The 12354-nt window shown below is 45.8% G+C and overlaps 1 protein-coding gene and 1 pseudogene across 2 annotated transcripts in view, besides 2 other annotated features; both read left to right on the forward strand.

The window, feature by feature from the left end:
* CRKL (CRK like proto-oncogene, adaptor protein) overlaps window positions 1-11107 on the forward strand; it is a 36341-nt gene extending 25234 nt beyond the window's left edge. Inside the window, exons 3-4 of one of the 2 annotated variants that reach the window (NR_156180.2) lie at window positions 7071-8625; window positions 10566-11107. Coding sequence is in view for 1 of the 2 variants with exons in the window: in NM_005207.4 (NP_005198.1) it covers window positions 7071-7205 (135 nt within the window). In the remaining variant the exon portion in view is untranslated. Of the gene's footprint in view, window positions 1-7070 lie in introns of both variants that reach the window. The other variant, NM_005207.4, reaches the window with a different exon arrangement.
* On the forward strand, window positions 4005-4078 carry LOC124905167 (uncharacterized; annotated as a pseudogene).
* Window positions 8879-9380: an enhancer, noted in NCBI's record as "H3K4me1 hESC enhancer chr22:21305807-21306308 (GRCh37/hg19 assembly coordinates)". NCBI's record gives its function as "activates a minimal SCP1, AML or CMV promoter by ChIP-STARR-seq in primed H9 embryonic stem cells {active_cell/tissue: H9 hESC(primed)}" and the evidence as "EXISTENCE:reporter gene assay evidence [ECO:0000049][PMID:30033119]".
* Window positions 9381-9880: an enhancer, noted in NCBI's record as "H3K4me1 hESC enhancer chr22:21306309-21306808 (GRCh37/hg19 assembly coordinates)". NCBI's record gives its function as "activates a minimal SCP1, AML or CMV promoter by ChIP-STARR-seq in primed H9 embryonic stem cells {active_cell/tissue: H9 hESC(primed)}" and the evidence as "EXISTENCE:reporter gene assay evidence [ECO:0000049][PMID:30033119]".

Here is a 12354-nt window from a genome sequence, read left to right on the forward strand (position 1 = left end):
AACGGAGTTTTGCTCTGTTGCCCAGGCTGGAGTGCAGTGGCACCATCTCGGCTCACTGCAACCTCCATCTCCTGGGTTCAAGCGATTTCTCCTGCCTCAGCCTCCTGAGTAGCTGGGATTATAGGCACGTGCCACCACACCTGGCTAATTTTTGTATTTTTTAGTAGAGACAGGGTTTTGCCATGTTAGCCAGGCTTTGAACTCCTGACCTCAACTGATCGCTCACCTCAGCCTCCCAAAGTGCTGGGATTATAGGCATGAGCCTCCTATGTTTAGCTTTTTGAGGAACTGTCAAACTATTTTCCATAGCAGCTGTACCATATTCCATTCCAACCAGCAGTATATAAGGGCTCCCTTCTTCACCGCCAAAAAAAAATTCTTCCACATCCTCATCAACACTTGTTATTTTCCATATTTTTTATTATAGCCATCCTAGTAGGTGTGAAGTGGTATGTCATTGTGGTTTTGATTTGCATGTTCCTAGTGACTGATGTTGAGCATCTTTTCATATTGGCTTTTGGCAAATCTTTGGATAAATATTTTCAAGTTCTTTGCCCATTTTTTAATTGGGTTATTTGAGCGTTTTTGTTTTTTATTTTGTTTTATATTTTTTGAGACAGAGTCTCACTCTGTCGCCCTGGCTGGAGTACAATGGCACTCACGATCTCGACTCACTGCAACTTCTGCCTTCCAGATTCAAGCAATTCTCCTGCCTCAGCCTCCCAAATAGCCAGGATTACAGGCACTCACCACCATACCCCGCTAATTTTTTGTATTTTTAGTAGAGATGGGGTTTTACCATGTTGGCCAGGCTCTTCTGGACTCCTAAAGTGAGGTGATCCACCTGCCTTGGCCTCCCAAAGTGCCAGGATTACAGGCGTGCGCCACCATGCCTGACCTTAGTTATTGTATTTAGGCTGTTGATCCATTTTAAATGACTTTTTGTGTATAGTGTGAGGTAAGGTTTCAGAGTCTTTCTTTTGCATGTGGAAATTGGTGCAGTTGTCCCAGCAAGGTTATTCTTTCCCTGTTGAATAGACTTGGCACCCTAGTCAAAAATCAGTTGGCCAAGCTGGGTGTGGTGGTGCACACCTGTAATCCCAGGTACCCTGGAGACTGAGGTGAGAAGATTGCTTGAGCCTAGGAGTTGAAGATCAGCCTGGGCTACATAGTGAGACTCCCACGTGTTAAAAAAAAATCACTTGATCATAAATGTGTGGGTTTATTTTTGACCTCTGAGTTCTATTCCATTGTTCTATATGTCTCTCCATATGCCAGCACCACACTGTTGATTACTATAGCTTTTTGTAGTAATTTTGAAGTCAAGGAAGTGTAAGTCCTCTAACTTTGATGCTTTTCAAGGTTGTTTTGGCTATTCAGGTTCCTCGCAATTCTATATGAATTTGAGGATTGGTTTTCCCATTGCTGCAAAAAAAAAGGCTGTTAGAATTTTGATAGGGATTGTGTTGTATTTGTAGATCACTTTGGGTAGTATTAGCTTTTTTTTTTTTTTTTTTTTTAATTTCTTTTATGAGGCAGGGTCTCACTATGTTGCCCAGACTGGTCTCAAACTCCTGGGCTCAAGTGATCCTCCTGTCTCAGCCTCCCAAAGTGCTGGCATTACAGGTGTGAGCCACTGCACCTAGCCAATATTAATATCTTAATCATAAGTCTTTCCATCCATTAACACAAATGTTTTTGCATTTATTTAGGTCTTTAATAATTTTTGGTATGCAAGTGTTTCACCATGGTTAAATTATTCTCGTTTTGTTTTGTTTTGTTTAGACAGAGTCTTGGCTTTGTCACCAGGCTGGAGTGCAGTGGTGCAATCTCGGCTCACTGCAACCTCCACCTCCCTGGTTCAAGCGATTCTCCTGCCTCAGCCTCCCAAGTAGCTGGGACTACAGACATGCGCCACCATGCCCAGCTAATTTTTGTATTTTTAGTAGAGATGGGGTTTCACTATGTTGGCCAGGATGGTCTCGATCTCTTGACCTCGTGATCCACCTGCCTCGGCCTCCCAAAGTGCTGGGATTACAGGCATGAGCCACCGCACAGCCTATTCTTGGATATTTTTATTTTAGATGCTATTGTAAATGGAATCACTTTTTTTTTTTTCTTCTTGGAGACAGAGCCTCACTCCCGCTCCATTGCCCAGGCTAGAGTGCAGTGGCACAATTCTTGTGCCTCAGCCTCCTGAGTAGCTGGGACTACAGGTGCCTGCCACCACGCCCAGCTAACTTTTTTTTGTATTTTAGTAGAATTGGGGTTTTACCATGTTGCCCAGCATGATCTTGGCGCCTCCCAAAGTGCTAGGATTCAGGCATGAGCTACCGTGCCCTGCCTGGAATTACTTTCTTTCTTTTTTTTTGGGATGGAGTTTCGCTCTATCACCCGGGCTGGAGTGCAGTGGTGTGATCTTGGCTCACTGCAAGCGCCACCTCCCGGGTGCACGCCATTCTCCTGACTCAGCCTCCCAAGTAGCTGGGACTACAGGCGCCTCCTACCACGCCCGGCTAATTTTTTGTATTTTTAGTAGAGACGGGGTTTCACGGTATTAGCCAGGATGGTCTCGATCTCCTGACCTCCTGATCTGCCTGCCTCGGCCTCCCAAAGTGCTGGGATTACAGGCATGAGCCACCGCACCCGGCTTGGAATTACTTTCTTAATTATTCATTACCAATATATAAGACGCAACTGATATCTATGTGTTGATCTCGTACCCTGCGACTTTGCTGAATTTGTATCTTTTCTTATATATATGATCGTGTCTTGACTTCCTCTTTTCCAAAAGCCCACATACTCTTGTACCACAGCATACTGGCCTGTGATACCTTTAGCCCCGCCCCCTACCTTTCCCAAATAAAATCTCTGTGTTAACCAGTAAACAGCCCTCTTGAATCAAGTTACTACTCTGAAGGATAGTGGTAATTTTAAGAAAGAGACCAAGTCTTCAGTATTAAAACCCTATTAGATAGCATTCAGTTGTGGGTTTGAGTGTATGAGATTACTTGACTGCTAGCCAGGGCACACAGACAGGGAGCCTAGCCCTCTTAAAGCCTCTATCTCTCTGGCTACTCTGATTCAGGTGCAGGTGCACAGAGAACACAGGGGCAGGCAGTGGACCCATGCAGCTCCGTGAGGGCCAGGGGTGTTTGTCTCCTTTGTGTCCTCTGTTGTATCTCTTCACGGCCTACACATAGATGTTCAATATTTGTTGAATGACTAGAGGAATAAAAGCCACAGAGAGCAGGATGATACCTGTCTGGTGATTATAGTACATGGGCTTTGTTTTGTTTTAGATATTTTGGGGGCTATAAGCCCCTTTGAGAATCCAGTGAAAGTTGTGCAGTCTTCAGAAAAACAGCATACATTCATGTATTTGCATACAACTTCGCAGGATGTTCTTTGATCACTGAGACCCATTCACATCACTCAAGTTAGAATTTATGATTCCAGTGTCACCAGTGTACTCCTGATCTTACTTTTATGTAACCTGAAAGCATACAATCTCAGCCTATCAGTACAGGGAGCGGAGACTGATTATGGAACCAAAAAACTGCTGTGACGACCAGTGCTTGGGCCCTCCAGTGCGTTGACTGCTCTTTGAATCAAGTGCCAGATGCCAGTCAGTAGAGTCATTTCCTGGACAACACTCTGGACAAGTAGGGCTGTAGGAAACTATTGCCAGCAGCAAGAGGTACCCTCTTGCCATTTAACTCTTGGTAGACATAAAAGGGCTGACTAGTGTCCCTGGCATATGTGTTTTAGAGTTAATGTGTCCACTCCCCAGGTGCTAAGTGCGGCCAGCCACAAAGATAGTGTTTTGACAGTTCTAATAATGATTAGGATTGGCCTGTTCCATAGAGTGAAAATTAATAAGGATGATGCATTAGGTATGTGCTTCCTCTTAATCTGTTGATAAGGTCAGCCACATCTCCCAGGTGTAGTTTGCCCCGTGAACTGAGTTGGTATCTACCCACATCAAGATTGGTCTGCCCTCTAAGACTATACTTTCAGGGATCATTTCTATAGTTCATTACTAGAGAAGTTTCTCTGAAGGTGTAGAGCACCCCTCCCTCCAAAAAAAAAAAACAGATTGATCTGCCCTCCACAGTGAGTGCTTCTTTGAGCTGGATCCGTGTACCATGAACCCAGAGGAAGAGCACCACACCAGAATAGGGAGTGATGAGGGAAACGGCAAGATGGCTGCCAAGCTACCAGCCATTTTAGGATCTGAGCACAAGCACTGTTTGGTAGAGCCATGGAAGAAGCTGGTCCATAGCCAGGCCTGTAACTGGACAGCAGGCTGCATAACAGCCAGGATATCTTTACTGTGTTGAGATAGAAAACAGCATGAAGAATGATGATGGTGTTTTAGCATGTGGAAACTCCTGCAAGGCCACAATGAGGCACTAATGGTCAAGGGGCCACCAGAAGTCTCTCAGCCATTCTCTTCCTAGGCTGCTCTTTGACCTACTTCTGCTGGTCCAGGTTCCCTCTGTCTAAGCAGTAGCTCCTTGAATCCTGTGCTCTGCAGCATTGAGTTAATAGTGTTTTTCTGCCACTTGCTGCTTTTATGTGTTTTCTGTCTCTCTCTCTTTTTTTTTTTTTTCAATAGAAGCTAGGTCTCACTATGTCACCCAGGCTGGTCTTGAACATGTGGCCTCAAGTGATCCTCCCACCTTGGCTTCCCAAAGTGCTGGGATTACAGGTGTGAGCCACTGCGCCCAGCTACACCAAGTGCAGTGACACGATTTTGGCTCACTGCAACCTCCACCTCCCAGGTTCAAGTGATTCTCCTGCGTCAGCCTCCCGAGTAGTTGGAATTTGGGATTACAGGCATCTGCCACCACGCCTGGTGATTTTTGTATTTTTCAGTAGAGATGAGGTTTTGCCGTGTTGGCCATGCTGGTCTCGAACTCCTGACCTCAGGTGATCCATCTGCCTTGGCCTCCCAAAGTGTTGGGATTACAGATGTGAGCCACTGCGCCTAGGCTTTTTCTTTTCTTTTCTTTTCTTTTTTCTTTTTTTCATTTTTTTTTTTTTTTTTTTTTGAGACAGGGTCTTGCTCTGTCACCCAGGCTGGAGTGCAGTAGTGTGATCACAGCTTACTGCACCCCTGCAACCTCTGCCTCCTGCGCTTAAACGATCTTCGCACCTCATTCTCCCAAGTAGCTGGGACTGCAGGTGCATGCCACCACGCCTGGCTCATTTTTGTATTTTAGAGACAGGGTTTCACTGTGTTGCCCAGGCTGGTCTTGAACTCCTGGGCTCAAGTGATCCACCCACTTCAGCTTCCCAAAGTGCTGGGATTACAGGTGTGAGCCACTGCGCCCGGCCACTTTGTGCTTTTCACACTATGTTATTATCTGACAAAGATTCATTGTGTATCCCACTCAAAAGACAGAAGTTTTTTAAGGATACGAACTGACCTGCCCATTTTCCATGGAGTAGATGTTCAGTAAATTTATTTAATTGATTAGGTAGGATCATGTAGAAAGTATCCTGTTGAAGACCGCCAGACTCACAAGTTAATTGGAAGGCGTGAGGTGTGAGTGTTCTTGGCAGCTTTCAATCCTTAGCCTCATCTTTAATCTTCCCGTAGTCTTCTTTGGCTGCTTAGTATCCATCACAGTCATTTATTAGACCCCGTTTTCAGCCTGTTCCTCATTGGTTTTGAGAGGACCCTTGTTGGTGACAAGGTTGGAAATCCTCTGATATATACAGTGTTGTGCTTCTCAGTGCTAATTCCAGCTCTTCCCTTCGTGCATCCAAAGGGTATGATCATTAGAGGGGGCGTGGGGTTGGGGGATGGGTTCTATTCAGGAATCTCTACTCAAGTAACAATCATTTAATTACTGCAAGAACCTTTCAAAGTTGGAAGGAAACTGAGACTTGGAGAACTTAAGCAGTTTGCTACAGTCATGTAGTTTCTAAAAGTGGCAGAACCAGGACATTTGTTTGGTGTCCTGCATGCTCCAAAGTTCATGGCACGGACCATTGGACTGTGCCATAAAAACCTTATGCCTGTTTTTATTTTGAGATGTAGTCTTGCTGCGTTGCGCCGGCTGGTCTCAAACTCCTGGGCTCAAGCAGTCCTCCCACCTCAGTCTGCCAAGGACCTGGAACTAGAGGCATGTACCACGATGCCTGGTTCTATATGTGTTTAAGCAGACAAAAGCTTATTTCTTATTGTCTTAGATCTTAGGTGGGTCTTATATTCAAGTAGCGTTTTTATGGACCTAAGTACACAATACAGAACCTTAGATTAGTGCTCTGCTGAACAGAGTAACACCCTGTCTACAATGACTACCACCTGAAGGTCTTTTTTTAAAATACACCTTTTTGTGTAATTTGACTTTAACCATTCTCAGAATCATGTGTTCATTTCTATCCTGTTGGGGTTAGTGGCCAAAATAGAAGGTTGGTGTGGGGTGGGGAGCTGCTTTGTGCTCAAAAGCTGTTTCTGTGTGTGTGTGTGTTTTGATTTTTGTTTTTTTGAGACAGGGTCTCACTCGGTTGCCCAGTCTGGGGTGCCGTGGCACTATCACGGCTCACTGCAGCCTCAGCCTCATGGGCTCAAGCCATCCTCTCACTTCAGCCTCCTGAGTAGTTGGGACTGCAGTCATGTACCACCACACCCGGCTAATTTTTCTATTTTTTAGAAGAGATGAGGTTTCACCATGTTGCCCAGGCTGGTCTCGAACTCCTGACCTCAAGTAATCCCAGGAGTTCAAGGTTACAATGAGCTGTAATCGGGCCACTGCATTCCAGCCTGGGCGACAGACCCCGTCTATAAAAAATTAAAAAATAATGTGCATGGTGGTGCACGCCTGTAGTCACAGCTATTCAAGAGGTGGAGGTGGAAGGATCACTTGAGCCCAGGCGTTAGAGGTTACATTGAGCAGGGATCTCACCACTACACTCCAGCATGGCTAACAGAGTGAGACCCTGTGTCTAAATAATAATGTATGGGCCCTTTGGATAAGGTAGTGTTTGTGATTTAATGTAAACTGTCTTTTTCTTGTTGCAGAGAAATGCTAACTTTGTCTTCTTCATCCATACAGGTTGGTGACATCGTGAAAGTCACAAGGATGAATATAAATGGCCAGTGGGAAGGCGAAGTGAACGGGCGCAAAGGGCTTTTCCCCTTTACGCACGTCAAAATCTTTGACCCTCAAAACCCAGATGAAAACGAGTGATTGCTGTTGCCCTGTTTCCTGCTGCTTTGTTGTTCTGCCTGTCCTAGTCTCCTTTGAAGTGGGAAAGCATTTTCTCTCATAGGCAAGTCACACTGCATTGCCGAAGTCCAGCTTTCTGCAGACTGGCAGTCGCACACACATTTGGAATGCACACAGCGGCTGCCTCCTGATGTTTGTATCATAGTCGTATTGTCAAAGAGTAGCCGATTTTAGAGTTCTTTTGGATCATAAACTGGAAATACTGATGGAAGCACACAAGTGGAGAGAAGTTGACATGGAAAGGGTCTTCCTTCTCATTGCTGCCCGTTTGTACATGGGACTGATTCTGTTGTGTTCACCAGAGAAAGCTTGAGGCCATGGCGAGATACTGCATGTTTGCTGTTCCACAAAGCAGTGGCTTAGCTGCCATCTTGCTTTTCTTTGGACAACAGGAAGTGAACCTTAAGGAAGAGAGAATTCTGTTCTAAAACTCCAAAATCTGGCTTTTTTTTTTCTTTTGTTTTGGTTTGGTTTTGGAAAACTAATTAATTAGACTTGTGTGGGGGTTTTTTTTTGTTTTGTTTTGTTTGTTTTGTTTTGTTTTTTTGAGACGGTGTCTCGCTGCATCACCCAGGCTGGAGTGCAGTGGCGCAATCTCGCCTTCCTGCAGTCTCCGCCTCCTGAGTTCAAGCGATTCTCCTGCCTCAGCCTCCCAAGTAGCTGGGACTGCAGGCGCGCACACCACGCCCAGCTAATTTTTGTATTTTTAGTAGAGACGGGGTTTCATCATGTTGACCAGGCTGGTCTCAAACTCCTGACTTCAGGTGATCCACCCGCCTTCAGCCTCCCAACGTGCTGGGATTACAGCCGTGAGCCGCCGCGCCTGGCCTAGACTTGTGTGTTCTAAACAGGTTAAGTAGCAGGTTGGGTTTTTATGATAGTGCAAGGAATGACTCATGCCTCTGAGCTTCTAAACTGAAGCTGCTGTAACTAAAGGAATCTGAAAAGAACAACCCTGAAGCAGAGGCCTTTATTGTCTTGGTTGCCAGTAGTACCTTGTTTTGCCATGTAGCAGACAACACACAAAATAATGCAGTTGTGGTGTGCCATGCTATGTGCACAGCCCCTTGGATTACTTTGTTTTAAAAAGCATCAGAGTTGGGGGTACTTTAGGGAAACCTTTGCTTACCTTGTTTTGCCAGTGATAAGAGCAGTGGGTTGGAGGGCACTTGGCCAGTTTTCTGTTCAGCTTTTCAGTGAATGTACCCCTTTAAGGTTCAGACTTAAACTTCCTTAAAAAGTGGCGTTGTTCATAGAATCGTTGGACTCATTAATGAATCGTTCAACTCCACTCACTGAAGCCCAGACCTCCGTGCCCAGGCCCAATCTCGTCAGGCTGCCAGAGAAAGTTGGTGCTGCTCATACTGGTCTCACAGTCTAAGTAAGTGTCTGTGATGCTCCCAAGCAAAGGAAATGCAAGCTCTGGAAATTCGTTAATGTATTTGATGTCTTAGTGTTTTAGTGACTAGGGAGACCATTAACTAGTTTATCATTAACCACTTATCAGTGTATTGATGTTAAAGCATTTCCCTGTTAGCTAAAAGAGGCCTGTTCATACAAGCCAACTGGTATATACGTGTGGTTCATCCATCATCTGCTGCACATAGCAGACTAGAATTCTGGGAACCCTGTGCAATTCAGTCTGCTCTCCCTTGTGGACCCTGGTAAAGAAAAGCCTCAGCTCATAGTGAACACAGCAGACCTAGAAATGTAGCAGCAGCCTACTGAGTAGCTTTCATTTACTGATCATCTGCTGTGACTGTGGCCCTGTCTGGAGGTTCCTAGGTTTTGAGATTTAGAGCAATGCATTCTGGAGACAGAACCAGCAGAACAGCCATTTTTCAATTTTTCTTTAAATCAGTATTCCATCAGGCAGATAACTGCTGTATTCATGAATCTTGAGAGTGTTCCTGAGACAGAATTAATGGTCATTTGGGAAAACTATCGCCATGGCTTCCCATCTGTGGTTTTCCTCTAAAAGCCTTGGAGATTAGCCCTTCCTTGCCAGTGAGAACGGTGACCGCCTCCTGCTCTGCACGGTCTGCGGCAGTTGCCGCTTCTGGTTAGGTGTGTCAGGTTGGCTTATTTTGGGTTCAGGCCTGGCGTAGCACCCACAAGTGGCAGACATATCACAAGAGTCCCCAGACTCTGCCTAGAAACAGTGTTTGCCCTTTGGCCAGTGACGTGGTTCATCCCGGCCCATGTTGAGCCATGAGTGGAGTTTCCAACAGAGGGAGGAATGTGTGCCTTGTTCAAGGAGGGCACGACCCTTAGGCCTTTTTCAACCAGATTTAGCTGAAGGGCTTGACACCTTTGAATTACAGCAGTTGACTCAGAGTGCAAGAAGTCTGGCCATTTTGGAAAGCAAGGTTTCCTTTCAGCCCTGTCTACTGACCAATACCCCGACTCACCTTGTGTGGCGCACTTCAGAATCAGATATACCTAGAGTATACCTGTGGTTTGGTTTTATAATTAATCAGCTCGTTACTTCAGCCCATGAAAATGGCATCCAGGGCTGCCAGGAGATTCAGAGCTCAAAACAAGGCGAGCTTGAGTTCTGCACTCCAGATATGTGCCAAAACTAGTAAAACTTAACGGACTTACAACCTTGTCAGTTTTTTTAATGAGGCAGGGATACTCTGTTTTTCACACTAAACATATGAATGCAGCACTGCTGCCTCAGCTCAGCTTCGTGCCTGGGTTCCCCACTGGTCTGGGAAGACTGTTGTGCTCCATAGAGCAGTGCACATCTGACCCAGAGGGTGGGTGTTCATAACTGCTACTTGCTCTGCTCTACCATGTTTAAAGAAATATTTGGATGTTAAATTAACTCACTATGGTTTTTCACCTGGGAAGGAAACAAATTACGTACTAGAGGGCATTGACTGGTTAAAAACTTGTGTATCCCGGGAAGGACCTGCGGTACAGGAGTCAGCCATGTCTGTGCTGTGTGGAACCACCTGATGACATGGTTAACGAGGAAGACGATGTGTTGACCGGCTGCCGTTTGAGGACTTTGGTCACCCAGACTAGACACCTTCTGTGCTCATGTTTGGAAAGCTGAAAGGGAAGGACAGCTGTGCCCTCCTGGGAGCTCATGTGTCCCTGGCGCTGTGCTAGCTTTCCTTTACAGCTGTTTACAGACAAGGCAGGCCTGAGGCAGATGGCCACTGCTCTTGTGATGTTTGCTCAGAGGAATATGAACATTTTATTTTTGAAAAGGGATGATGTGGTTTTTTGCCAGGTGTTTATAATTAATCCTTTAATATTATGGTTATTAACCTCTTAAACATGAATGAATTCTTGATTGTTTTAACACAGTACCTAAGACTAATGCTTTCTGTGGACACCACTGAGCTCTGCCTCAACTCCACCCTCTGCGACCGGAGGACTATGCCCCTAGTAACTGCTGTCGGTGTGGACGCTGTGCTGGTTCTGTTTTCTAAAGGAGCAGAAGGACAGGTCTCTGAGACAGGATCGTTGTCCCTACAGGAGGAACAGTGGCCTTGCTTCTTAGACGGTCTTCACTGTGTGTTTTAAAACAACAACAACAACAACAACAACAACATAAAACTCTTTTGACCTGTAACTTAAAGATCATAAACTTCAGGCAATAATATTTTCTGTGTAAGCTTTTAAAATTATTTTTGGGGATCATAGCTTGTTTTATTTTGTGCTATAAAATTAACAGTATTAAATGACTTATATTCTTAGAATACATCGAGTGTCTTTTCTTAACAGATTAGTGCCTTTTTATTTTTGTATTCCGTTTTACGTTACTGGTCCCAGCATCAAAACCCTTGTTTCCATGGCCTGTTTGTATATTGTCTCAATAAAACTTGCATCAGCCGGTGGTGGCGGCAGCTTCGGTGTTTCAGTGTCTCCTCAGTCCGCCCCCACTAGCCTCCTGGCAGTTCATCAGTGGTGAAATCTCTGATGCTTCTCAGAGACCCTTAGTGCTGCTGCTGACCAAGAGCTAGAATGAAGTCTTGGCATCCGCCCATTCCAACACTCGGGCACCCAGAGGAGAGCACCTGGGGTCTCCCTCCAAAAGAGAAATCTGCCTCCCAGAGTGTCTGTCTTGTAGGTATTGTATGGGAGCCTAGTGCTTGGCCTTCTGAGCATGAGGCAATAGTTCCCACAGGTTGCACCACCACAGAGAACTTGGATCTTTTTCCTTCTAGGCACCCATATCTGAGGCTTCTAGTAAATATTTCTTCAGCATGAGCTAACCAGGGTTGAATGGTATCAAGCAGAAGTCATGGGAAGTGAGCAGCCTCATTGCAGGTCAGGGCATGATATCTGTGCGGCTTTCTTGAATCCTTTTCTGTTCTTGGCTGTAGGTGGTTCTCCTGATGAACTTTGGGAGACCTCCAAGTGGATTGGCTTGAGGTGTTGGGAGGCCCACTGACACCCCCTCAGCCAGGGCCTTGTCTCTCCTACTCCCAGCTCTCAGTACATTTTATCTTTCACTTCACTGTACTCTATTCCCATGCCTATTTGTGTATTTTGAGGTGCATATTTTCTTGTAAAACCTCAGGAAGCCATTTTTAAAAATTATGGCTGGATGTGGTGGCTCATGCCTGTAATCTCAGCACTTTGGGAGGCCGAGATGGGCAGATCTGGAGTTCAGGACCAGCCTGGCCAACACGGTGAAATCTCATCTCGGCAAAAAATATAAAAATGAGCCAGGCATGGTGATGCAGGCCTGTAGTCCCAACTACTGTGCAGGGAGGGCCAAGGTGGGAAGATCTTTTGAGCTTGGGAGGCAGAGGTTGCAGTGAGCTGACATACCACTGCACTCCAGCCTGGGTGACAGAGGAAGATCCTTCTCACCGCCCTCCCCGCCCCCACCCCCACTAAGACAGTCTTGCTCTGTTGCCCAGAGCTGGAATGCAGTGGTGTGACGTCACCTCATTGCAACCTCCACCTCCCGGGTTCAAGCAATTCTTCTGCCTCAGCCTCCCCTGAGTAGCTGGGATTACAGGTGTGTGCCACCACGTCCAGCTAACTTTTGTATTTTTTAGTAGAGACGGGGTTTCACCATGTTGGCCAGGCTGGTCTCAAACTCCTGACCTCAGGTGAGCCACCCACCTCAGCCTTCCAAAGT

The sequence above is a fragment of the Homo sapiens genome, chromosome 22 (assembly GCF_000001405.40).
Source record: "Homo sapiens chromosome 22, GRCh38.p14 Primary Assembly".
NCBI lineage: Eukaryota > Metazoa > Chordata > Mammalia > Primates > Hominidae > Homo > Homo sapiens.